Here is a 26,774-nt window from a genome sequence, read left to right on the forward strand (position 1 = left end):
GTAAATTTTTTCAGCACTCTTCTGCAACCCACTAAACTGAATCTCAAGGCTAGTAAACATGCTAATTAATGCTTTAAGCTTTCACACCCTGATATAGTTTGATATTTATCCCTGCCCAAATCTCATGTTGAATTGTAATCCCCAATGCTGGAGGTGGATCCTGGTGGAAGGTGTCTGGGTCATGGGGACAGACCCTTCATGGCTTGGTGCTGTCTTTGCAATAGTGAATTCTTGCAAGATCTGGTCATTTAAAAGTGTGTGTCACTCCCCTGCACCCTGCCCAACACATACACATTATTTTTCTCCTGCCTTCACTTTGTGATGTGCCTGCACTTATTTTGCTTTCAATCATGATTGGAAGCTTCTTCAGGCCTTCCCAAAAACAGATGCCACTATGCTTCCTGTAAAGTCTGCAGAACCATGAGCCAGTTAAACCTCTTTTTTTTTTTTTTTTTTTTTTTTTTATAAATTACCTACTCTCAGGAATTTCTTTACAGCAGTGGAAGAATGTCCTAACACAGAAAATTGGTACCAAGGAGTGGGGCGTTATACCTGAAAATACGGAAGCACCTTTGGAACTAGTGCTGGAAGACACCAGTTCCACACAGAGGCTGAAGACAGAGCCTCTTTTTTGTGGACAGAGGCTAGAAGAGTTTAGAAGGCTCAGAAGAAGATAGGAAGATTAAGGAGAGTTTGGAACTTCTTAGAGATTGGTTAAATGGTTGTGACTAAAAGGCTGATGGACAATGGTAATATGGACTATGAAGGCCAGGCTGATGAGGTCTCAGATGGAAATGAGGAATTTACTGGGAACTAGAGCAAAGGTCACTTTTGTTATGCCTTACCAAAAACTTGGCTGCATTGTGTCCATGCCCTAGAGTTCTGTGGAGTTTGAACATGTGAGTGATGACCTAGGATAGCTGGCAGAAGAAATTTCTCATAAATGAAACATTCAAGATGTGACATCTTGACAGCCTATTCTCAGATGCTTCTAACAGCCTATTCTCAGATGCAGGAGGAAAGAAATGACTTAAATTTGGAATTTATATTTCAAAGAGAAGCAGAGCATAAAAGTTTGGAAAATTAGCTGAGCATGGTGGCTCACACTTGTAATCCCAGCACTTTGGGAGGCCAAGATGGGTGGGTCACTTGAGGTCAGGAGTTTGAGACCAGTCTGGCCAACATGATCTCCAACTCCATCTCCACTAAAAATACAAAAATTAGCTGGGCATGATGGCACACGCTTGTAGTCCCAGCTACTTCGGAGGCTGAGGCATGAGAATCACTTGAACCTGGGAGGCAGAGGTTGCAGTGAGCCAAGATCATGCCACTGCTCTCCAGCCTGGGTGACAAAGCGAGACTCCACCTCAAAAAAAAAAAAAAAAATCAACCTGGCCATGTGGCAAAGAAAAAAAAAAGGTTGTTTGTTTGTTTGTTTGTTTGTTTTTTGAGAGAAATTCAAGATGGATGTAAAACTACCAGTTCTTAGAGAAAGTTCCAAAACTGAAAGAGATCTAAGAGCTAATGTTCAAGACAATGGAGAAAAGGCTTCAAAAGCATTTCAGAGACCCTCACTGCACTCTGTTTGATTTCAGTTCTAGAGGCCTAGGAGCAAAGAATGGTTTCATGGGCTCCGCAGACTCAGAATAACATTCCTCACATTCCCACCGCAACTTTTCTAGCTGTGGCTCAAAGGGGCCCAGTTACAGCTTGGGCTGCAAAGCATAGCCTTGGTGGTTTCTATGTGGTGTTAAGCCTATAGGCACACAGAGTTAAAGAGCAAATGAGACTTCTCAGCCTCTGCCTAGATTTCAGAGGGTGTATGGAAAAACCTGCATGCCCAGGCAGAAGCCTGCTGCAGGAGTGGAGCCCTTACAGAGAACTTCTACCGGTAAATACAGAGGGGGCATGTTAAGGTTGGAGATCCCACACAGAGTCTCCACTGGGGCACTGCTTAGTGCAGTTGTTGGAAGAAAGTCTGCATTCTGCAGACCTCAGAATGGTAGATCCACTTGCATCCTACACCCTCAGCGTGGAAAAGCCTCAGGCACTCAGCAACCTCTAAGAGTATCCACCAGTGCTGCAAAAACCACAGGGGCAGGACTGCCCAAGGCCTTGAGAGCCCCACCCCTTCCATCACTGTGCCCTAGATGTGGGACATACAGTCTAAGGAAATTATTTTGGAGCTTTAAGATATAATGATTGCACTACTGGGTTTTGGACTTGTTTGAGGCCTGTAGCCCCTTCTGTCAGGCCAATTTCTCCCGTTTCAAACATGAATGTTTGCCCAATGCCTGTACCTCCATTGTATCCTAAAAATAAGCCATCCTAAAAATAAAACAATAAAGAAGCAGACATGTGGAACTCAGTTAAGGCATGTGATTGGCACCAATCGGGCTACCAATATTATCTATCTTCAACAAAAGGACACAGCAGTGAAGAGAAAGAAAGGTTAGGTTAGAAACCCTACACTCTTGTTGGTTCTGCCTCAAGACTTAATTCTCTGTTTTAAGGTACCATAGATTCTTAACACACTAGACATATGCATACTAAAACCACTGGTAGTAACATATCCCAAAATATAAAATGATTTTGGATTTTCTAAACCACTGTTTTCCTCCAATAGCACAGATAATCAAAATTTATTTTTAAAAAATTTTAAAGAGGTTCTTCTGATATTTTGTTATTGCAGATATTCCTTTGAGGCACCATTATCTGAAAAACTGGTTTATGATATTACAAAGGGAGGCTGAGAGCTAAGATTATTAACTTAATTTTGAGATTCTGTGACGTGGTCAAAAGCTAGAGAAATGGGGAAATTCTGTTATTTAATTATAATTGTCTTTTCTTTGATCTGTCTTTAACATTGACATTGGAAACTGAGATTTAACTTAGGAAGTGAGAAGACATGAAGATTTATATTTTGAAGAATCTTTTGGGAAATATGACCAAAAGATCAAAAGTGGAGGAATAGGGAGTAAAGATTTTAAAACCATTATTTGGGGTATTCATTACTTTTGAAAATCAAGATCAGTGAATATGTTGCCCTTTTTTCTTGAAAATATGTGTATTTAGATTTCTCTATAATTCCTTACCTAGGATTTTGGAAAATAGGTTATCCTGTCTACTTCTGTCACAAAACTTTCAAGGTACATGACTAAGAGGAAGTAATTAAATTAATTATGCTAAACCTTGCTCTGACTTTTGGACTAAGTTATATTAGATTAAGGTATGTAATAAATGTAAAAAAATGCATGCCAACAAATTTTTTTTGTTATTTGTCTTTATTTCTTTTAAAAATATTGCTAATATATAATTAAGTGATATTTGAAGATATTACTTAAATCAAAACTAGAAATTATAAGAAAATAGCTACATCATAATTGAACTATAGGAAAGTGATTTAGGCATTTGATTTTAATATTTGCTATACCTTTAATTTCAGGCCGTTGCTAGAAATTCATTTCAGAATATAAGAAAGCCTGATATTACAAAGGTGGAGCTCTTAAAAGATGTTCAAAGTAAAAATGATCTTATTGTTCGATTAGTAGCTCATGATATTGATCAAGTGTATTTGGAAAATTACATAAAAGAGGAACGAGATTCTGATGAAGATGAAGTTGTTTTAACACAGACTTTTGCAAAAGAAGAAGGCATCAAAGTATTTGAAGATCAAGTGAAAGAAGTCAAGAAGCCAATACAAAGCAAACTTTCTCCTAAGTCAACACTAAGCACGAGCAGCCTGAAAAAATTTTTGTCACTAAGTAAATGTTGTCAGACCACAGCCAGTGCAAATATTGAAAGTACTGAAGCAATCTCAAATCAGGTAATAGAATCCAAGGAGACACATGTTAAAAGAGCTGTTGCTGAGCTTGACATGGCCACACCAAAGACGATGCCTGAAACAGCCTCTTCATCTTGGGAGGAAAAGCCCCAGTGTAAGGTAAGTGATAAGCATGACTGTTAGTGACTAGAAAGGGGAGACATCTTCACAAATCTGGCCCAAGAATGTACCTTGATTAGTCAGAAAAGAATGCTAAAATGAATTCAATCTCAAGCCTGGTGATATTTACAGGATAAGGGAAATTATTACCAGGTACAGCTATGAAACTCAACTGTGGGAAAGCAGGTAATAGGGGAAAAACTAGATTAATTAGAATCCCAAAGAAAAGAGAAAATGGAAACCAGTTAAGAAAAATGTAAGCTAATTATTAAAAACAGTTGGTTTCCACCCTTTTGTATTTTGGCTGGTAAACACTCATTGAACATTTTGTGTGGAGAGCCTAATGCTACTAGAATAGCACCAGAAGACTGGCTGAGGTAGGAGGAACAAAATAAGATCCACGGAAATTCAGATTGTTTGGGTTTGAATCCTAACTCTCAGTAGCTAGCTGACCTTTTGGTAAGTTATATAACCAGCTTATCCAACCTTAACAAGTTAATTCATATATTTTAAATATCACCCTTACAATTAGCCCATAAACTCTGCTGTCAGCATGGTAAACATCTCTTGTTGATGGCTCCAAATTCTCAAATGATGGTCTGGGTCTCAATGACCTTTTGAGTTTGGTCCTGCAGTATAATCTACATTTTAATGGAAAAAAGTTTCAGAGATTAGTCAAAAGATGGATGAGCCCTGTAATTCTAATTAATTTTAGAATTAATTTTAATTATTTTCATCTACTGGATACATGAAATTCCATACCATAACATGTTTTTGGAGAATATACAACTTTTAATTTTCTGATGAGGCCATTCTCTTGATTATCCATTTGATGTGATTCCGAGGTTAACACAAAAGCTTAGATGAACCATAGAAAATAGCATAAATATAACTCTGGTCAATTCAGAAGCACACATGAGTTTGCAACAAATAGATCAAAGTATGTGTTAAGATGATTGACCTGGCAAGGTACCTAATTGACCAGAGTTGTATCTGTGTTCTTCCTCTTTTTGCCCTCAGTAATATATGATTTCAAATATTTTTAAAGTTTAGAAGAAAATTCGACTCTTTAAACATTGTTCCAGGTTTATGTTTAAAATTTGTTCAAAATCTAATGTCATAATTTAGGTAATCTTCACTGAACTATTTCAAGTTAATTATATTGGAAGACACCTTTTAATTAGAATTATAGGGCCCACACCCATCTTTTAACTAATCTCTGGAACTTTTTTCCATTAAAATGTAGATTATACTGCAAAAAATGCCATAAGGTAAGAAAATATATCCCAAACTCCATTTAGTGTAATAGCTGATTTGTCCTTTTCCAGAAAGAAGAAAAGAATCTTGTTACTGAACCAACACATTACTTCATACACAGAATTATGAGTTCATCTTCATACAACCAAGAAGATCTCATTTCATCTACTGGGTATATGAAATTAAAGCAGTAGAAATATAGAAATCTGATAAAGTAGAGCTTATGAGTAGAATGGGGCCCCTGGCAAAACTGTAATTGAGCAAGTATTTAGCTTCAGACCTTCCCCAACTTCTTCCCTTCAGTGGCACCCTACTGTGAATAATTCCAAAGCCACTTCTTGCTATCTGTTCCTTTATTTTTAGATACCTGGCCTCTATGTCCTAGTTTTCAAACCAGTTTCTAGTGTATCAGTGTCTTATATAAAGTATTTGCTAATGTATTAGGGTATTTTCTAACCTGAGAGAGAGAGGTAATGGCCCAGAAATGAAATATGCAGTATCAGTACAAAAGTGTTCATGCTTAGCTCTCTTAAGAAAGCTACTGTCATTGCCTATAAGAAGAATCCAAAGGAATGAGAAAGAAATATAAGTTTTAGCATTCAGAGATAAATGGTAGAAAGCAATGGAGTTTGACATGGCTCTTTAAGAATGGATAGGATACACAAGTGAAAGACAATCCAAGTTTGGATGACACTAGGGGCAAAGTATGGGCTATAACAGTTATAGGGGACAAAGAGGAACAAAGTGCACTGTAGACTTGAAATCTGATTCATAACTCTATCAAGAATAGTGAAAACATCTAAATTTGTGCTTGCATTTATAAAATTATACACAACTTGGAAGAGATAACATTTTTTATTTGGGGAGAAGTACTCATGTTATACACAGAAAAATCTAGTGATTTTTTTTTTTTCATTCAGCATGCTGGAATTGCATTTTTTTTTTGACATGGCCTTATTTTGGGATATCTGTTTTTGGCCCACCATTGTCTCTTTTCTCCTACATAATAGGTTATTTTAACATACATAGCTAGTAATGTTGGAACCTCTTTATTGGTTATATTAGTGAAGTAAAAAGCAGGCATAAATAATACTAAATAAAAATGATTTTAGAGCAAGATAATACCAGGAAGCTCAAGGTTCTGATTTCCCCATGGAAACAAAACATAAGCAACTACAATCTGACTAACACAATTTTATAACAGCTCTGGACAACGGTCTGCAGCAACCAAATGAATATTCAATCAAGAAAAAGCTGGCTGCTCATGATGGCTCACGTCTGTAATCCCACCACTTTGGGAGGCAGAGGCATGAAGATTGCTTGAGGCCAGGAGTTTGAAGCCAGCTTGGGCGACATAGCAAGACCCTAACTCTACTAAAATAAAATAAAATAAAATAAAATAATAAAAAATTAGCTGGAATGGTCATGTGCACCTAGTCCTAGCTACTCAGGAGGCTGAGGTGATAGAATTGCTTGAGCTCAGGAGTTCAAAGTTACAGTGAGCTATGATTTTGCCACTGCACTTTAGCCTAGGTAACAGAGCGAAACTCTGAGACAGAGAGAGAGAGAGAGAGAGAGAGAAGACGAAAGAAAGAGAAAGAAAAGAGAGAGAAAGAAAAAAGAGTAAATGAGAAAGAGAGAGAAGAGAGAGAAACAAAAGGAAGAAGGAAAGAAAAAAAGAAAAGGAAGGGAAGAAGGGGAGGGAGAGAGGGGTGAAGAAAGGGAAGGAGCAAGGGAGACAGAAAGGGAAAAAACACATTCAAAATAGTTAAAAAAAATCTGTGAAGTTTAACTTGCTCTTGGATCCAACTTCCTCCCAGCATAGTATAACACAGTTAAGAGAAAGGAGCCCAATTTACAGTTTCCTCCCTTTGGTGGAAAGAGCAGAGTAGATCTTGTTCTGACCTATCTATGGGCTTTCTTAAGAAATTATTTTTGTTTCACCTGACTAGGAACTCAGATAGGCAATGGTGTTATAGTTTGGTTCTAAGCCTGGAAACCACAGAAAGTAGTGGATAGGTGCCATAATGCATGAAAACTACAGAGGGACTGCAGAACCATAAACACCTTCGGCAGAAATTATGGGAAGAGAGAGATACAACAGCAGAATATCTAAGTTCTGAAGAAGGAGCAGGAAGTGACTCTTTGGGAAATTAAATCATTTAAAAAGCAGCTCAGAAAAACTGAGTTTGGGGAAGCACAAACACAGGCTTGAAAACTACATGCTCAGAAAAGATCTGAAAAAAACCTAAATCTTCACTTCGGACTGTTTCCAAGGCTCAAAGTCTCATTAATTAGTAAATATTTTCCACATCAATCAGCAAAAACTGGAAGAGGTGGCTTCTTTATTATTTCAAATACTCACATTTGAACAAAAGATTACTAAGCATACAAAAAATGGGGAAAATGAAATGGAAATAATAAAATACCCAGAAAATGTTCCTGAAGAAGCACATCAGTTGGACCTACATGGCAAAGACTTTAAGACAACTATCTAAAATATGTTCAAGAATTGTAGGTAGACAAAGAACTAAGGAAATTAGTAAAAATACGTATGAACAAAATTAAAATATTAACAGAAAAATTATAAAAAAGAACCAAACAGTAATTCTGCTTTTGGTAGCATATTAGGGCAACTAGAGTTAACAATAATTTATTGTATATGCCGAAATAACTAAAAGAGAAGAATTGGACTATCCTTAACACACAACACAAAAAGTAATAAATGCTTGAGGTGATGGATACCCCAATTACCCTGACTTGATAATCACACTTGCATGCCTGTATCAAAACATCACATGTAACCCATACAAATGTGCAAGTATTATGTGCTCATAAAAATTAAAAATTAATTCTGGAGCTGAAAAATATAACAACTGAATTGAAAAATTCATTGGAGAAGTTCAATAGCAAACTTGGAGAGACAGAAGAAACAATCAGTGAACTTGAATGCAAGTCATTTGAAGTTGCCAAGTCTAAAGACCAAAAGGAAAAAAGATTGAAAAAAAAGTAAGCAATGCCTAAGGGATTTTTGAAACACCATCAGGCAGAACAATATACACCTTATGTAAATTCCAGAAGAAGAAATTGAGAAAGAAACAGATAGATTATTTGAGGAAACAAGGGCTGAAACTTCCTAAATTTGAAGAAATACATACACAAATAAAAGAAGCTTGACAAACTTCAAGCAGAATGAACACAAAAATATCATATCAAGACACATAATAATCAAACTGTCAGAAGACAAAGATAATCTTTAAAGTAGAAGAAGGAAAGTGATTCATCATGTACAAATAACCCTCATAATATTATTAGTGATTTTCTCATTAGTAACCTTACAAGCCAAGAGGCAGTGAGATGATATATTTAAAGGACTGAAAGAAAAACAAATACTGTCAAACAAGAATTCTACATCCAGCAAAAAATGTTCTTCAAAAATGAGGCGAAATTAAGACATTCCAAGACAAGGAAAGGCTGAGGGAGTTCATTAACACTAGATCTACCTGACAAGAAATGCTAAAGAAAGTTCTTCAAGTTAAAAAGAAAAATGAAATGATGCTAGACAGTAACTCAGAGCCATATGAAATTATGTAAATTTTAACAAATGTAAATACATTAACAAATATAAAAAATAGTATTATCATAATTTAGCTCATATATCCACTTTTTATTTTCTAAAGGATTTAAAAGACAAATGCATGAAACAGATAATAAATTTATGCTAATGGATACAGAATGTAAAAAGATATAATTTTGGAACCTCAATAACATAAAATGGGTAGGGGGCAAATGTGTTAAAAAGTAGAGTTTTTGTATGCAGTTAAGTTTACTTGGTATCAGTTAAAAATTAGAGTCACATAATCCTTGTAGTAAGCACAAAGAAAATATTCCTAAAATATGCATAAAGGAAATGAGAACTGAATCAAAATGTGTCACTAAAAAGTTCAACTAAATACAAAGGAAGACAGTAATGGAAGAAATGAAGGACAAAACAACTGTAAGATGCAGAAAACAACAAAATGGCAAAAGAACGTTCTTCTCTATTACTAATTACTTAAAGTATAAATGGGTTAAACACTTTAATCAAAAGAGATAGAATGACAAAATGGATTTTAAAAGCAGAATCCAACTGTATGTTATCCATAAGATATTCACTTTAGATCTAAGAATACATGTAGGTTGAAAGTGAAAGAATGGAAAAATATACCCCATGTAAACAGAAACCAAAAGAGAGGGGAAAAAATGACATTGTATGATGATAACGGCATCAATTTACCAGGAAGAGATAATAATTAAAAACATATACAAATGGTCTGCAGCTTAATGAAAATTTGACTTACAATTTTTTTAACTTTATGACAGTGTGAAAGCAATACACATTCAGTACCATATTCAATATATTATATGATATTTTTAATACTTTGTGTTAGATGATTTTGCCAAACTGTAGGCTAGTGTATGTGTTCTGAGCACATTTAAGGTAGGCTAGGCTAAGTTATGATGTTTGGTAGGTTAGATGTGTTAAATGCATTTTCAATGTATGATATTTTCCATTTAAAATGGGTTTCTTGAGACGTAACCCCATTGTAAATTGAGGAACATCTGCATGCACCAAACATCAGAGCTCCAAAATATATTAAATAAATACTAACAGATTGAAGAGGAAATAAACAGCTCTACAATAATAGTAAATGACTTCAGTATGCCATTTTCAATCATGGAGAGACAACTAAACAAAATTGGGAAATAGAGGATGTTGATATGGTTTGGCTATGTCCCCACCCAAATCTCATCTTCAATTGTTCTTCCCATAATCCCCACATGTCGTGAGAAGGACCAGGTGGAAGGTAATTGAATCATTGGGGTGATTACTCCTATGCTGCTTTTCTCATGATAGTGAGTGAGTTCTCATGAGATCTGATTGTTCTGTAAGGAGCTTTTCCCCCTTTTGCTTGGCACTTCTCCTTCCTGCCACCTGGTGAAGAAGGATATGTTTGCTTTCCCTCCACCATGATTGTAAGTTTCCTGAGGTCTCCCTAGGTATACAGAACTGTGACTCAATTAAACCTCTTTCCTTTATAAATTACCCAGTCTCAGGCAGACCTTTATAGCAGCATGAGAACAGACTAATATAGATGTGAATAAAACTATAGATTTATTTAACCTATCTATCTATAATTTATATACATATATTGTTTTATATATACATATATAAAACAATAGCAAAATACACAGTTTTCTCAAATGCACATAGCACACTCCCCAGGATAAATTATATCTTAGGCCACAAAATGAGTCTTAATAAATTTTAAAAGTCTGAATATATACAAAATATATTTTCAAATTACAATGGGATAAAACTAGAAATCAATAGCAGAAGGAAAAACAAAAACACCCTCAAATATGTGAAAATTAAACAATATACTATCAACTTATGGGTCAAAGAAGAAATAATGAGGGAACTTACCAAACTTCCCAAAACTTAAGGGATACAACAAAAACAATGTTAAGAGTAAAATTTATAGTTGTAAATTATTCATTAATAAATAAGAAAGATCTTATACCAACAACTTAACTTTACACCTTAGGGAACTAGAGAAAGAACAAACTGAAAGGTATTAAGTAGAAGGAAATAATAAAGATTAGACCAGGAATAAAATAGAGAATAAAAACAGTAGAGAAAATCAAGAAAACCAAGAGTTGGTTCGTTAAAAAAAAAAAAAAAAAAAAAAAAAAAAATCAACGAAATTGACAAGTCTTTAGCTAGATTGCCTAAGGAAAGAAAGACTCAGCTAAAATCATAAATGAAAGAGGTAAAATAGCAACTGAGTTTATAGAAATAAAAAGGATTATAAGAGGGTACTATGAATAATTGTATGTCAACAAATTGGATAATCTAGATGAAATGGATAAATTCCTAGAAATACACAGCTTGTCAAGACTGAATTATGCTAAACTATAGTGAACAAATTTAGAAACAGTAAAGAAATTGAACCAATAACTGAAAAACCTCCTAACAAATAAAAGCTTATGACCAGATACTTTCATTGGTGGATGTCACAAATTTCAAAGAATTAACACTAACCCCCCTCAGACTTTTCCAAAAAACTGAAAAGAGGAAACACTTCCAAAGCCATGATGCCAGCATTACATTATTACCAAGACCAAAGACTGCAAGAAAACACTACAGAACAATATTACTGATGAATATTGATGCAAAAACCTTCAACAAGATATTAGCTAACCAAATTCATCAGTATATTAAAAGGTTTATAGATCATGACCAAGTCGGTTTTATCCCGGGAATGCAAGCAAGTTTCAACATACAAAAATCAATCAATAGGCCAGGCACAGTGACTCATGCCTGTAATCCCAGCACTTTGAGAGGTTAAGATGGGCAGACTTCTCAAGCCCGACAATTTGAGACCAGCCTGGGCAACATGGCAAAACCCCATCTCTCCAAAAAAAATACAAAAAATAGCCAGACATGGTGGTGTGCACCTATGGTCCCAGCTACTAAGGAGGCTGAGGCAGGTGGATTTATTGAGCACAGGAAGTTGAGGCTGCAGTGAGCTGTGATCACACCACTTCGCTCCAGCCTGGGTGACAGAATGAGACCCTATCTCAAAAAAAAAAAAAAAAAATCGATGTAATACATCACATTAACAGAATGATCTGTCTCAAATGATGCAGGAAAACCATTTGACGAAAGTTAAATAGTTTACATGGATAAAAGGACTCAGCAGAGCAGGAAGAGAAGGAAATTACCTCAACATTGTTAAGGTCATATATGAAACATCTACAGCTAACATTGTCCTCAGTGGTGAAGAAATGAAGTATTTCCTCTGAGATCAGGGACAAACAAAAAAACAATGACTACTTTTGCCACTTCTATTTAACATAGTACTGAAAATGCTAGTCAGAAAAATTAGGCAAGAAAAAGGGGGAAAGGCATTCTAATTGGATGAGTAGAAAAATTGTTGTTTATAGATGACATGGTCATAATGTAGAAACCCCTGAAGAACACCAAAAAAATTGTTATAACTAATGAATTAATTCAGCAAAGTTGCCAGACATAAAATCAACACAGAAAAATAAGCTGCATTCTGTATAATTACACTGAACAATCTAAAAACAATTAAGGGGAAAATCCACTTACATTAATAACAAACAGAATAAAATACTTAGGAATACATTTAACCAAGGAATTGAAAGACTTGTACTTTGTCAGCTACAAAATATTGCTGTAAGAAATTAAAGAGAATGCAAAAAAGTAGAAAGACACCTCATGTTTATAGATTGGAAGACTTAATATTATTAAAATGTTAATTCTACTCAAAGTAATTCATAGAATCAATGGAATCCTTATCAAAATACCAATAATTTTTTTTTGCAGAAATAGAAAATTTATCCTAAAGTTCATTAGTTTCTCAAGAGACTCTTAATAGGAAAACAATCTTAAAATAGAATAAAAATGCAGATGTCTTATTTACTGATTTCAAATCTTACTACAAAGCTACCGTAATCAAACAGTGTGATACTGATATAAAGACAGACTTATAAAGCAAAGACATGGAATAAAGAGCCCAGAGATAAACTCTTCCATACATGATCAAATGATTTTTACCAAGGGTACCAAGACCATTTAATGAGGGAAGGGATGGCCTTTTCCACAAGTGGTGATGGGAATAGATACTCACATGCAAAAAACAAACAAAAATGAAGGTGAACCCTTACCTTACACCATATACAAAAATTAACTCAAAATGAGTCAGAGATCTAAACATAAGAACTAAAAAAACTTTTGTTGGAAGACATGGGAAAAAGGCTTCTTGACATTGGATTTAAAAATTTTTTTTGTTCTTGTTGTTATGATACCAAAGCACAAGCAAGAAAAGAAAAATAGATATATTGTGCTTCATTATAATTAAAAATTTTGTGCTTCAAAGGACGCCATCAACAAAGTGAAAAGTCAACCCATGGAATGGGAGAAAATATTTGCAAATTATACATCTAGTAAATAATTAATATTCAGAATATGTAAATAATTCTTATGACTCAACAATGATAAAACAACCCAATTAAAAATGTGCAAAGGACTTGAATAGGCAGTTCTCTAAGAAAATATACAAATGGCTAACAGGCACATAAAATGATTTTCAATCATTTCCCTAATCATTAGGGAAATGCAAATCACAATCACAAGATGCCACTTTCAACACATTAAGATAACTAAAGAAGGGAGGGAGGGACAGAAGGAAGGAGGGAAAAAAGAAGTAAAGAAAAAGAAAACAAGTACTGGTAGGGATGTCAAGAATTGAAACCCTTGTGCATCAATGGTGGGAACTTCAATAGTGCAGACATTGTGGAAAACAGTATTGGGGGTTTCTCAAAAATTAAACATAGACTTACCCTATGATCAAGCAATTCTACTTCTGTGTACATATTCAAAATAATTAAAAGCAGGGACTGAAACAGATATTTGTACACCATTATTCACCATAGACAAATGATGGAAGCAATCCCAATGTCCATCGATAGATGAATAAATATAAACAAGCAAAATGTGTTATAAATATTCAATGGAATGTTATTCAGCCTTAAAAAAGGAAGGATATTATGACACATACTACTAGATGTATGAACTTTGAAAGATGTTTTGCTAATTGGTATACGTCAGCAAAAAAGGCCAAATATTTCATGATTCTCATATGAAGTCCCTAGGATAGTCAAAATCATAGAGACAGAAACTAGAATAGTGGTTCCCAGGGGATGGGGAGAGAGGGAAATTAGGCTTTAATGTTTAATTGGTATACAGTTTCAGTTGGGAAAGATGAAAAAAGTTCTGGAGCTGGATGGTAGTGATGGTTGCACAACACTGCAAATGTACTTAATGCTACAGAACTGTACACTTAAAATGGTTAAAATTGTAAATTTAATGTATGTATAACCACAATTTTAAAAGTAGGGGAAAAAGTCAATCAGAAATCATTTTTATGTGATTTGGAATCTCAGTGAATAGTATACTATTTCAGGTTTCTTTCCATATGGAGAATAACTGTTCTTTTGCTTAACCAGTAACTTCTTCATTTATCAAATTCACCCTAAATGATGTTCTTTTTCTTTTGTTTTAGTGAGGCTGAAGATTGTCACTCAGACCCAAGTGCTAAAATATTAGAAGGTTGGACTCCTTTTTCTTAAATTAGAGAGTATTTTTTACTACTTTGATGTGTTTTTTTTTTAGTTATCAAACTTGAAGTTAATACAGGTTTTATGTTTTCTATGAGTTTATCTACTTTTGAAAATGATCCAGTATTACCTCATTCAGGTGTTAAAATGAGTCAAATACTTAGCCTTGCCTAAACTGCCATTAAGATTTCATCACTGATTGTGGTATCAAGTATATGGTTTGATATGAATTCACATTTACCATACTCCTGTGAAATATCTACAAAATAGAGTGTATTGTAACAGCAGTTTATATCTGAGCCAGAACCCATGCTACTAGGATTTAATTATTTCTTTGAAGGATTATGCCTCTTTTTAAAGCTAAATTTATTCCCTCATATTAAAATCGGCCTAGGATGTATCTCACTTTTTTTCATTTTTCTATATATTTTTTGTTTTGTTTATTCAATCTCTAATAGTCCTGGCTCCTTAGAAAATTTGTAATGACTTTTAGGTTCTCTAACTGTCAAGACCTTAGAGGGAGGATCGATGTGGTTCTAACAATGATAGCATATATAAGAGGTAGAGTGTCATGTTTACTATAAAGTCACATTAAAAGTCAAACCACAAGTTTATCATGACTATTTCAAACATGCAACCAATTCAACAAACATATTCTCCCAATTTGAGAGTGAAAATCATTTTTATCAAGATAATCCATAAAATAGCATTAAGTATGCCAGAATTCTGTGAACATATCATAGGTTTCACAAAAACCACTCCTATAATGTCTGAATTGTGGAATTATACTTTGTTAGATGCCAACAGAAACCGTTTCATACAACCATACTCATTTTATAGATGAGGAAACTCAAGCTGAGGGTAAGGCAGTGACCCATCCAACATTCCTCTGAGTCAAAAACAGAGTCCAGTACAGACCAATGTAACAGACATGGGACACCAGAAGGGAGGAGGGAGGTGAGCACTGAAAAATTACCTATTGGGTATAATATTCACTATTTGGGTGATAGGTACACTAGAAGTCCAAACCTCACCATTATGCAATATATCCATGTAATACTCCTGCACATGTACCCTGTGACTCTACATAAAAACAAAAGTTCCATCTGCATCCCACATCTCCTGCCTCTAAATTCAGTGTTTTAATATGCTTTATCCAACTTAATTTTGGTGATCTTGCTTAGTTCTTATATCTTTTAGTAATATCACAGGTGTTCAACTGAATCATTTGCTTACTCATTCATCCAAAGATTTGCTGAGTGTTTTCTTTGTATCCTGAGATCCCATGTCTGAACAAGACTGACAAAGTTTTTGCTCTCACAGAATTTACACTTTAACTCAGAGTAGGAAGTCCCATCCCAAGGGTAAGGACTTAAACAAGATAATTCCAGACATTGATAAGTAAAGTCATGTGTCACATAATGATGTTTTGGTCAATGATGGACCAGTATAAAATAGTGGTCCCATATGATTATAATACTGTATTTCTACTGTACTTTATCTATGTTAAGATACACGAATACTTACCATTGTGTTAGAGTTGCCTCCAGTATACAGTGTCATAACATTCTGTACAGGCTTGTAGCCTAAAAGACATACATAAAACATAACATATAGCTTAGGTGTGTAGTAGGTTATACCATTGAGGTTTGTGTAAGTACATCCTATGATGTTCACACAATGATGGAATCACTTAATGAGGCATTTCTCAGAATGTAACCTTGTTAAGCAAAGCATGGCTGTACTTCCCATCTCATTTAGAACCAAATCTCAAGTCATCACAATGGCTTACAAAACCCTAAATCATCTGGGCATCATCCTAACATCCTACTTCCTCTCTAAGGTACTCCTCTATTTCTTTCTGGCTCAATCCATTCCAATCACACTAACCTCCTTGCTGTTCCTCAAACATTTTATACATTAATGGCCCTTGGATTTGCTGATCCTCCTGTACTCTTTCCCCTATATCTGCATTGTTCATTCCTTACTTTCAGATCTTGGCTCAAATGTCACCTTCTCAGTGAGGTCTTCACTGGCCACACTCTGAAGTTGCAACTTAATTCTGATCAGGACGCTACCTATCCCAGTTCTTTGCTTTACTGGATAAAACTTTCTGTTATACTGTGTATTTTAACTGTTTTTTTGACTGTCTCTCTAGAATGTAAGCTTCATAAAGGTGGAGATTTATGTCTGTTAACAGCTATATCACCAAGAGCCTAAAACACTATTTTGTTTATAGTAGATACAGGGATTAATGAGATAGGAGAGACTATTGGAGCAACCAAAGGTGAAGGAGGAGCACAAGAATTCTTTTTTGGTTATGTTGAGATTGAGGTGTCCTTTAGACATTCAAGTTGAGATGTCACGTAAGCAATTGGATATTTAAGTCTGAAATTCAATGGAAAGATCAAGGCCAGATATATTCATTCCTAGTTCATATATACAATAAAATCTCAAGTAACTTAAATCCAAAAATCTGGGCACCATAAATATCAGGAATTTTTCTGTGCCTCTTCATCAAAACAACTTCCTAGTTTTTCTGGGGAGTTGGATGCACATATACCCTAGAAACTTAAAAACTTGTGTTTGGAATCATTGCCCTTGTAGTAAACCCAAATGTCCTCAATCATTTAAAATAAAGTATGTCAAATTATGTGCAATATAGATTTAGGCGCTTTTTAGGAATATTATCAGCCAACAATGAAATCTTACCAATTTTGTCAGTTACTTTAATCACTTCTCATATTTGAGCTGATTGAGATTTTACTATTACTTTTTTTTAGAACCCATATTGGCCCAAAGGGTACTTTATATAGTTATTGCTTGTGTTGGTTCTTGATGAGTGTAGCTATATAAAATGCATAGTTTTTTCTTATATGATATCTTGAGAAATAGCCAAGGAAGACAGTCTCATTCCTATACTATGCATGAGAAAACAGAGTCAGAGAAGTTAGATGTTCAATGTTCACACAGCTTTAAGCAATGAAGCTAAGATGTAAATACAGGGTTTCTGCCTTCTTAGCAGATTAGCTGCTTCCCTTGCAGTGGGTTCTTGTGAAGCTTCTCTCACAGTGTCATTTCTACCTCCTTGCCTGAATTTATTTCACGAATACACTGACCTCCCCTGGAATTCAGACAACTTTTGGTTCTGTAGACTCCACCAAATATCCTCTGAGCATTGCCTCAAAGCTCTCCTGATTCTCCCAGAAGTTACTATTTAATAATACCAGTACTCTCCTCTTTATTCTAATAAGCTGCTTTTAAGTAGGCATGTAAAGAAAGTGGTAGAGCTGGAAGGGCTATTAAGAATCATCTATAGAGTAATCCCTCATTGTACAGGTAAACAAACAGGCTTATAGGGAATGAATGGTTGTGCATAGATGTATAGCTACTAAGTTACAGAGCTTGCCTCTCCCACTATGTTACATTTCATCTGTCATAATTTCTAAATTTCTAACTGAAGGGCTAAGACGTCCCAATATTCTAGGGCTCTCACTTATTTCAGTGTTGTTCCCAATTGCTTATACATTTAAAATAACAACTTCTTCGACCTGCCTAAACTATATGATTCTTTGGTGAAAAATAAATAATATGATCAGATTTGTGTCAACAAATATACATGCCTCAGAAAGAGACTATTTTACTTTTTTTTTTTTAATCTCTACAGAAAGTTCTCAGGAACAAAAGCCAGAGCATGGAAACAGTGTTAAGGTAAGTATTTTTAACTAGCCTTAGTTGATATATATTAGGAGCTAGTTCAGAACAACTCAGTTTTCATAGTTCAGTCAGGGACTGTGTGGTATGATTTGAAGGATATCAGAAAGCATTCTCCTATTCACAATTTCTTACACCCTGTTCCCTCTTCCTAGCTGAGGCCTGTCCCTGGTATATTAAAATATGTTAACAAAATCCTTTGGGTTAAGTCAGCATTCCTTGTTTAGGGGCACAAAGTAATATACTCGTTCTCCCTAGCATCTAAGTACAATTCTGTTTATTAGCTCTGTTACTACAATCTCCAGAAAAACACTAGAGGGAGTGAATTACTTGGCCCTACCTAGGATGAGTAGACTCAAGTGAGCAACGTGGGGAGGTGGGGAGAAAACAGAAGCTTCAAACATGGGAGGTGCATGGCTTGCAGGATGTGAGTGCTAATTCTGTTTTTCTGTATTCCTAAACATTACTTCTTTACCGGCAGCTTTCCAAAAAGCCCACCTACTCCCCAGTGTGAGCCAAGAAAATTTCCTCTTTATAAATCTTTCTTATAAAGTTTCCAATGAGAAATGAAGCTACACATCTTCGTCTGTGTTTTTTAATCAGATTGTTTCTTTCTTGGTTCAGCTTAAACACCCTTCGAGTGGGTCCTTCCACCCCCACATACAACATAAGCTATCAGTTATGGAGTTACTTCTCAGTATCACAATATAGTACGATTTTCAGAACCAACTTTTAAAATCTTATAACTTACACTTAAGATATATTTTTTAAATGTTCAAAGATAATGGATTTGTCACCCACTCAACCTAATCCTCATTTATGAATATAAGTATTTGTTTAACTACCTCAGGCTCCACTTTGGCCACACTTTACAAACAGTAAAATTATATGGCAACAGAAGGGAAATGCTGAAGCTCTAATCTAAGAACCTATTGACACTCAGTGTGTCAAGTGGAATTTCTGGCTAATCTGGACTCCTTCTGCTTTTGTTCTTTCCCTCTTTGCTACCTTTTCCATGGTAAAATTATGGTTAAAGTTGTTATCTAATCCAGTTTCAAATAAGGTGGAGTAGGCAGGCTCCATCTTATCTCTCTCACTGATTACAACTAAACACTGTGGGTAACTACTGAGGATTCTGAAAAATAAATAACAAGAGTTAGGGCAGGGGAATCAAAACTCAAAGAATGGCCAATGCCATTGTGAGTTTCCTGGGTTTTCTTATTTTATTTGCATATCCTCTGGCTTAGACTCAGGAAAACTCAAATCCTGGCATTACATAGATCAACTGGATAGAACATAGCTCCTAGAGAAACCATTGTTTTCTGACCGGTTAGGAGATTCCTGTGAGATGGAGAATCTGGGGAGAATCCCCACTTTTTCTCCCTCCTTGGCCCTGCCTCAAGGCAAGGTGCCCTCATGAAGCTGCATGGCAGTAGCAGCAGAGTTACCACCTAAAACTCTGAAAGAAAATTCTTCTCTGACCAATAGGGAAAGGGTCCTCAGTAGACTGAGGATTATTGATTGAACTGGTTGTGCTTTTCTCTGCTTTCTTTTGTCACTTTACTCTTAGTGGTAGATGCAGACATAAACTAGAAACAGCACACACACAGAGGCTAAAGCCACAGCATTTTAGCCATAGAACTAGAAAAGGGGGCTAATGAGAGTTAGGCATTGAGGAAAATCACAGAAAGAGGAACCTCAAAAATCTGTTTATACTGTCCCCTCTGAGTTGTACATATTTGGAACTGACCTGAAGTTACATAGACAAAAGTCTTTGAGAACCTGAACTGCATTCTTAATAGTAGTGCACACATAAGGATACTGAACACTACAAAAATTTTAAAAACAGAAATTAAATTGAAACCATAGCCATGAGAGGCAGGGTAGGATGTATGATTTGAACATAATGAGTCAATTACCTACCAAAAACAAACAAACAAACGAAAAAAATCAATGTTCTCTACAGGATTTTGAAAGGACCAAATATCTGACTACCTATATAAAATGTGTAGGATACATTCCAAAATGACTCAACATACAAAGAACAAAGACAATATCTACAGCTTTCAAGGAAAAGGTCAAAAGATGCCAACTCTGACATAGCCAAGGTTTTGACATTTTTAGATAAAAACTTTAAAGTCATGATTTTAACAATGCTCCATTAAGTAAGGGCAAGAACTCTTGTGTCTAACAAACAGATACATGTTTTCACATAACTTAAGTACTGTCATCCCCTGATAGCTGTAGGGGATTGGTTCCAGGAATCCCCAAAGATATCAAAATTCAGGGGTGCTCAAGGTCTTTATATAAAATGGTGTAATATTTGCATATAACCTACACACATCCTCCCATATATTTTAAATTATTTCTAGATTACTTATCATAACTAGCACAATGTAAATATTATGTAAATAGTTCTTATGCTGTATTATTTATGGAATAATGACAAGAACAATAAGTCTATACATGTTCGGTATACATGCAACCATCCATTATTTTTCATATATTTTTGATCTCTGGTTGGTTAAACTTATGGATACACAACCCACAGAGAGAGAAGGCCAACTGTATGTCTACTCATCTCCTTTTAGATGAAGGATTCTCAGTCCTAATTCTCTCACATTAGAGTTTTGTGAGGCATTTAAAAAATATACATTAATGTCTGTCCTACACTTGTTATGGGCCTCAGGGATCCATACTTTTAAAAAAAGTTTCATGGATAACTCTATTGTACAGCTTAAGTTGAGAATCAGTACTTTACATTGTCTCTGCCCTATTTTATTCCTCAGTTATCTTGTTTCCAATAGCTTAATACATGAGCACCCTTAAGTCTTCTTGGAGGAACTATGGTAAAACTCTTGTAATAGTTATCTGTTGCTTTTTACCTGATATAGACACTGCACATTCCTCTTGTGTTACATGTATTTAAGCCTTGTTTTACTGATTTTTAACAGATGACATTTTAGAATAGCTACAGAATTCTGGTACCCTTCAAATCTACCATTTTAGAATAGCTTCAGAATAGCTGAAGCCCCAACACCTGTCCCAGGCTATTTTATGCTTCTCTGGGACAATTGCTGCTCTTGCATTCAAAATTGATAAGGGTCTACAGAGTAAAGCTAGTACCGGAGACACAATCCCAGCACAACCAGGTCTACAGAGCCACTTTATTGCTCCAGACTCTGCAGTGGCTAAGATTTCAATAGAAGAAAATTTGGGGTTACAAAGTAAACATTCTTTTTTCTCCCCTTATTATTACATCTTTTTTCAGAAAAGAATTTTTAACTTTTTTCAATTCAGTCAAAGGATAGAGGGGGCAGACAGAGCTCAGATTTTTCATGAGTTAATATGGCTGAACCATTGACCCTCACTTAGTGCTAGCCAAAGTCTGCATTCATAACAAGGGTCAATCTTAGGCATCTTACTTTGCAAAAATTATCAGCCTCAGTCTTACTGAACAATTCTTTGAGACTGCAGAGCACAGATATATTTTATGTAAGATGCTGTAGTGGTATTTATAGGTATATCTAGTGGATTTGAGGACTTATGGGTATATCTAGTGTTTGTGTCCAGTGAAAGACTCAGTTTGTATTTCAATTTACCTTGGCAGTTTATCACCATCTTTGAAAGATCCAAGGATGTTCTTGGCAGTGCAAATCCCTCAAAGGAAGTCATTTCAGGTACAAAATGTACTATTTTAACAACTGGTGTAATTAAACTGTCAATTGCATCATTTTGAATTTAGAATTTTTTATTACTTTCCTGGAAATGAGTGGCTCTCCCCTTGCATATTATCAAAATAGGAGTGAAATAATATTCTTACTGTTTGCATAAATACCAATTTTCAGTTAATTATGTAGCTCTCTATCTTTACACCAAAGGGACAATGGATCATATAACTAAAATATATCAGGCATTAGCTATTCACATTTTATTTAAAGAAAAAAGTGAGAATCATTAAAGAGAAAAATGACAATAGGTTATCCAAGGTTATCCCACAGCTAACAAGCAGCAGAGCTATGTTTCAAATCCCAATCTCATGCAACATCATCATTGTCTACACACACAAATAGTTATATGAGCAAGGTAGGTACCATAAACAACAGCAGCAGATTGAGCAGGGGTGTGTGGCTTATGGGAGATGGCATGCTGCCTTTGAAGGAGGCAGTTGCTACTCATCTACAATCACTGGCATGCTAGATTGTTCCCAGTTCTTCCAGTTTTTCAAAAGAAGCTGGGTATTAAAGTTTTATATTAAAATGTATAACTTTTGAGTTTCATGTACTACAATCAAGAAAACACAGGATTTTAGTGGCCCTATCGCAACTTATTAAGTATCAGAAAAGTATATAAATATTTCTTTATATATAAAATTATTTCTTTATGTATAAAATAATAATTTTGTTAAACTGAGATGATTATATTCTTTAAAGCCTCATGCTGAATAAGAGGTGCAAAAAAAATGCAAATAGGAACTCTTTTATTACCTACACAGTCCTATTTTCCATGACATAAATAATCACTTGGGGTCAGTCAATGGAAAATTTACTCAAAGTAGGTGAGAATTTATACTATTTTTTAATGTACTTCTACTTTCTCTTGAGCATTCTGAAATAGGTGTCCACACTGTATAGAGTTGAAAGTTAATTTCCCATTTAACTCATTAGACATTTTCAGAGAGTGTTCTGCTGAGAAAAGAGAAATGGACTTTGTATACGTGACTAAAGAAGCCTCATAGTACAGTAGGCATAATGATGCCATGAGAGTCAGAAAGTCTGGACCCTATTACCAGCTGGGCCACCTTTTACTCATATGACCTTAGGCAAGGTATTTTACCTCAGTGTTCAAAAATAAAGATATCATTCTTCTTGTTTACTTTGTCCACAGAAACTCCCAAGCCCGATGTCTCCAAACAAGGATCTAAAATGCTGACAAAAATGTCTTCAACTTTGTCAAAGGTGTTTTCTCAATGTAACACCAATATTTCCAGATCTTCCTCACCAGCTCACCAGGATGAACACTGAAGCTTTTGTACCTGATATAAGTATGCTTACTTCTTTTAGAAAATAAAATGGTTTTTAAAGCATAGTATAGCGTCTTATAAGATGATTCCTATACTACTGAAAATAAAAGCAAAAGGAAGTGTAGAAGGGACCAGGCAAAGAAGGGTTTAACAAATGCTTTGAATAAGCATTTTGATGTAAGAAATGTTAATAATTAGTATTACCTGTGTGCCATGAGAGTAAGTGACTAAACACATAATTATTAAACTAGACAACTCACAGTACCCACCAGAAAATGCACATTGATTGCTCCTGCTAAATTTTAGAGGATGTTGTTACCAGGACAGTTATTAAATTGAGATGAAAACCAAGCTGAAAATGAAACTATGTCACGGATAAGTTTATTGTTAAAGGCATATTTAGATACTCGAATAAAAGGATTTATAACAGATAAATTTTTCCCACCTGAAAGTAAAGTTAATTTAGTTTATGTCTCCCAGGCAAAATGATCCAACTGTAGACAAAGCACCATTTGAAAGTAAATGATAACTATATATAATTCCATATATGCATAAAATGGCCCCTGTGATAAAAAAAATCCTTGCAAGTAACGTACCTCTTATGGATAAAATATCAATCAAGAAATCATTGGTCAATAAAGTTATTAAATAATTTTCAGAAATATTATACACGAATATAGAGATCAAGATCCATTTGTAAAAACAAAAGTAATGGGAAAAATTTAATAATATGGCTAGCTAGTGCAGTGATAAAAGAAATTTTTCAAAATTAGCTGAACTTGCTACTTTGTGATAAAGTTCCAATGTCAGCATGTTTGCCTCTGGAATCCAAGGATGTTTTATAAAGAGATTCAACAGATGGACCAAGAAGCTGGGAAGGAATGTCAAATATCATCACCCAAAAAGGGTGACTCATGAATTTTTAGAGAATGTGTATTCTGTTTTATCTAAAATTTTCTTGACAATTGCCACTAATAAAGCAGAAACTTCTGAAAAAGTTTTGTTTTAAAACAACAAACTTCCTTTAATGAAGTTGATCTGTGCAGTAATGACAGGGAAGAAAAAAGTGATTACCTAGTCAAATTTTTACATATAAATAATAAAATTATTTAACTGGCAATTTAGTCTACTTATAATAATCTCTTAAAAACAGATTAATCCCAAAGATCATACAAAATTGCCGAACTTGTGGATGCAGACCTTTTAAAAAATGATGGTTGGTGAGAAATAGCTGGAAATTCATCTCTGAATTATTTTCAAAAGAGCTGACTCTACATCAGTTTGCATTAGTTGACAGTGTTGTTGAAAGCATTCTTACAGATGTCATCCAAACCAATGATGTTTCCCAAACTTAGATATTACGTGCTTATAAGCTGTCTTTCAACGTAACATTTCACTGTAAAAATTTAAAGCACTGTGATTCACATACTTATCAACTGAAAAATGTAATATATAAACATAAGATACTCTGAATTAAGAGGGTTTTTAATGGTGAAGGAAATTTCCTGTTTTCTCTGACTCAAGTAGAGGAAGCAACATCAAGTTCAGAATTAGTCCTTGAAGTTGACAACATTTTAGTAAGGAATGGTTAATGTTATTGAGAAATTTAAGTCCTAGGAAAAACCATCCAGAAATACTTCTGTGTTAGACATCATGTATGTGAAACATCATCTTTATTTTCAACAAAACTAGTAGGGTAAATGTGCTAAAAGTATCAAACACTGAATTGAAAAAATGTGTATTATTACCTGATAAAACCTGTAGTGGCTAAAATCTCTAAAAGTAACATTAGTCTTCTAGCTAATGACTAATGCTAAAGCAGAAGAAAGTTTTTAAGATTCATAAAATTTAAATTATTCCTTAGGTTGTTGATTCTTTCTATGTTTTACTAAAATGGACTGGAAAACATTTTGTGTGAAAGGCTAGAAAGTAGACATTTTAGGTTTGTAGATTCTCTGTCAAATCTACTCCATTATGCTATTGTAGCACAAAACCAACCATATACAACACATAAACAAATAAATAGATGTGGATGTGATTCAATAAAAATTTCTTTATAAACACTGAAATTTGAATTTCATTTAATGTTACATGTCATAACATAGAATTTTTCTTTTGATTTTTTTCAATAATTTGAAAATATAAAAATTATTCTTAGGTTTATTAAAGACAAGTGACAGGACAGATTTAGCCCATGCTGATTTCTGTACTATAATAATTTGGAACTCATGAATAAGCTTATTTTTATATGAAGGTACTGATTATTGACTTAAAATAATACTAGTAAAGGTTCAAATTCTGTTGCGGGAAGTCAGGGACCCTGAATGGAGGGACAAGCTGGAGCTGCGGCAGAGGAACATAAATTGTGAAGATTTCATTTTAATATGGACATTTATCAATTCCCAAATAATACTTTTATAATTTCTTACACCTGTCTTTAATCTCTTAATCCTGTTATCTTCATAAGCTGAGGATGTATGTCACCTCAGGACCACTGTGATAATTGTGTTAACTGTACAAATTGATTGTAAAATGTGTGTGTTTGAACAATATGAAGTCAGTGCACCTAGAAAAAGAACTAAATAACAGTGATTTTTAGGGAACAAGGGAAGACAACCATAAGGTCTGACTGCCTGCGGGGTTGGGCAAAAAGAGCCATATTTTTCTTCTTGCAGGGAGCCTATAAACAGACGTGCAAGTAGGAGAGATATCACTAAATTCTTTTCCTAGCAAGGAATATTAATATTAACACCCTGGGAAAGGAATGCGTTTCTGGGGGAGGTCTATAAACGGCTGCTCTGGGAGTGTCTCTCTTATGTGGTTGAGATAAGGACTGAGATACGCCCTGGTCTCCTGCAGTACCCTCAGGCTTACCAGGGCAGAGTTTTTCCCCACCCTAGTAAGCCTAGTAAAAGTAGTTCTCCTTTTTGCCCTTTGAAGCATATGATCTACTCCCTGTTCTTACACCTCTTCCCCTTTTGAAACCCATAATAAAAAACTTGTGGGTTTGAGGCTTAGGTGAGCATCACGGTCCTACCGATACGTGATGTCACCCCCGGTGGCCCAGCTGTAACGTTCCTCTCTTTGTACTCTTTCTGTTTATTTCTCAGCTGGCTGACACTTATGGAAAATAGAAAGAACTTATGTTGTAATATTGGGGGCAGGTTCCTCTGATAAAATTCCATTATAAAAATTAGTTTGCATAGTTCAAATGTTGATTTCTTTAGTGATTTACTTATTGAATATATTGTTGAAAAGGTATATGAGCATGCTGCTAAAATATACTTTGAGTTAGAAAAAGAAGAGTTAGGGCTGAGCATGGTGGCTCATGCCTGTAATCCCAGCACTTTGGGAGGCCAAGGAGAGTGGATCACTTGAGGTCAGTAGATCAAGACCAGCCTGGCCAACATGGTGAAACCCTGTCTCTACTAACAATACAAAAAAATTAGCTGCACATGTTGGCAGGTGCCTGTAATCCCAGCTACTCAGAAGGATGAGGCAGGAGAATCACTTGAACCCAGGAGGCAAAGGTTGCAGTGGGCTGAGATCACACCACTGCACTCCAGCCTGGGGACTCCATCTCAAAAAAAAAAAAAAAAAAAGATAAAGAAGAGTTAGATCAAGATTTAATTTGTAGGTAAATTTCTA

The 26,774-nt window shown here is 35.0% G+C and overlaps 1 protein-coding gene and 1 pseudogene across 6 annotated transcripts in view; both read left to right on the top strand.

Moving 5' to 3' along the window:
* The window catches only part of FSIP2 (fibrous sheath interacting protein 2), a 96,157-nt gene extending 72,966 nt beyond the window's left edge, over positions 1-23,191 (top strand). For 4 of the 6 annotated variants that reach the window (XM_047444333.1, XM_047444329.1, XM_047444331.1 and 1 more), the window contains exons 18-23: positions 3,446-3,943; positions 5,272-5,372; positions 14,335-14,381; positions 18,057-18,100; positions 21,714-21,783; positions 22,991-23,191. In XM_047444333.1, the coding sequence (XP_047300289.1) occupies positions 3,446-3,943; positions 5,272-5,372; positions 14,335-14,381; positions 18,057-18,100; positions 21,714-21,783; positions 22,991-23,127 (897 nt within the window). In that variant the 3' untranslated portion in view covers positions 23,128-23,191. Of the gene's footprint in view, positions 1-3,099; positions 3,266-3,445; positions 3,944-5,271; positions 5,373-14,334; positions 14,382-18,056; positions 18,101-21,713; positions 21,784-22,990 lie in introns of those variants that run through there. The other 2 variants (XM_047444336.1, XM_047444335.1) reach the window with 2 other exon arrangements.
* Positions 23,490-25,017, top strand: LOC100420895 (fibrous sheath interacting protein 2 pseudogene; annotated as a pseudogene).

Source organism: Homo sapiens, chromosome 2 (assembly GCF_000001405.40).
Source record: "Homo sapiens chromosome 2, GRCh38.p14 Primary Assembly".
Taxonomy (NCBI): Eukaryota; Metazoa; Chordata; class Mammalia; order Primates; family Hominidae; genus Homo; species Homo sapiens.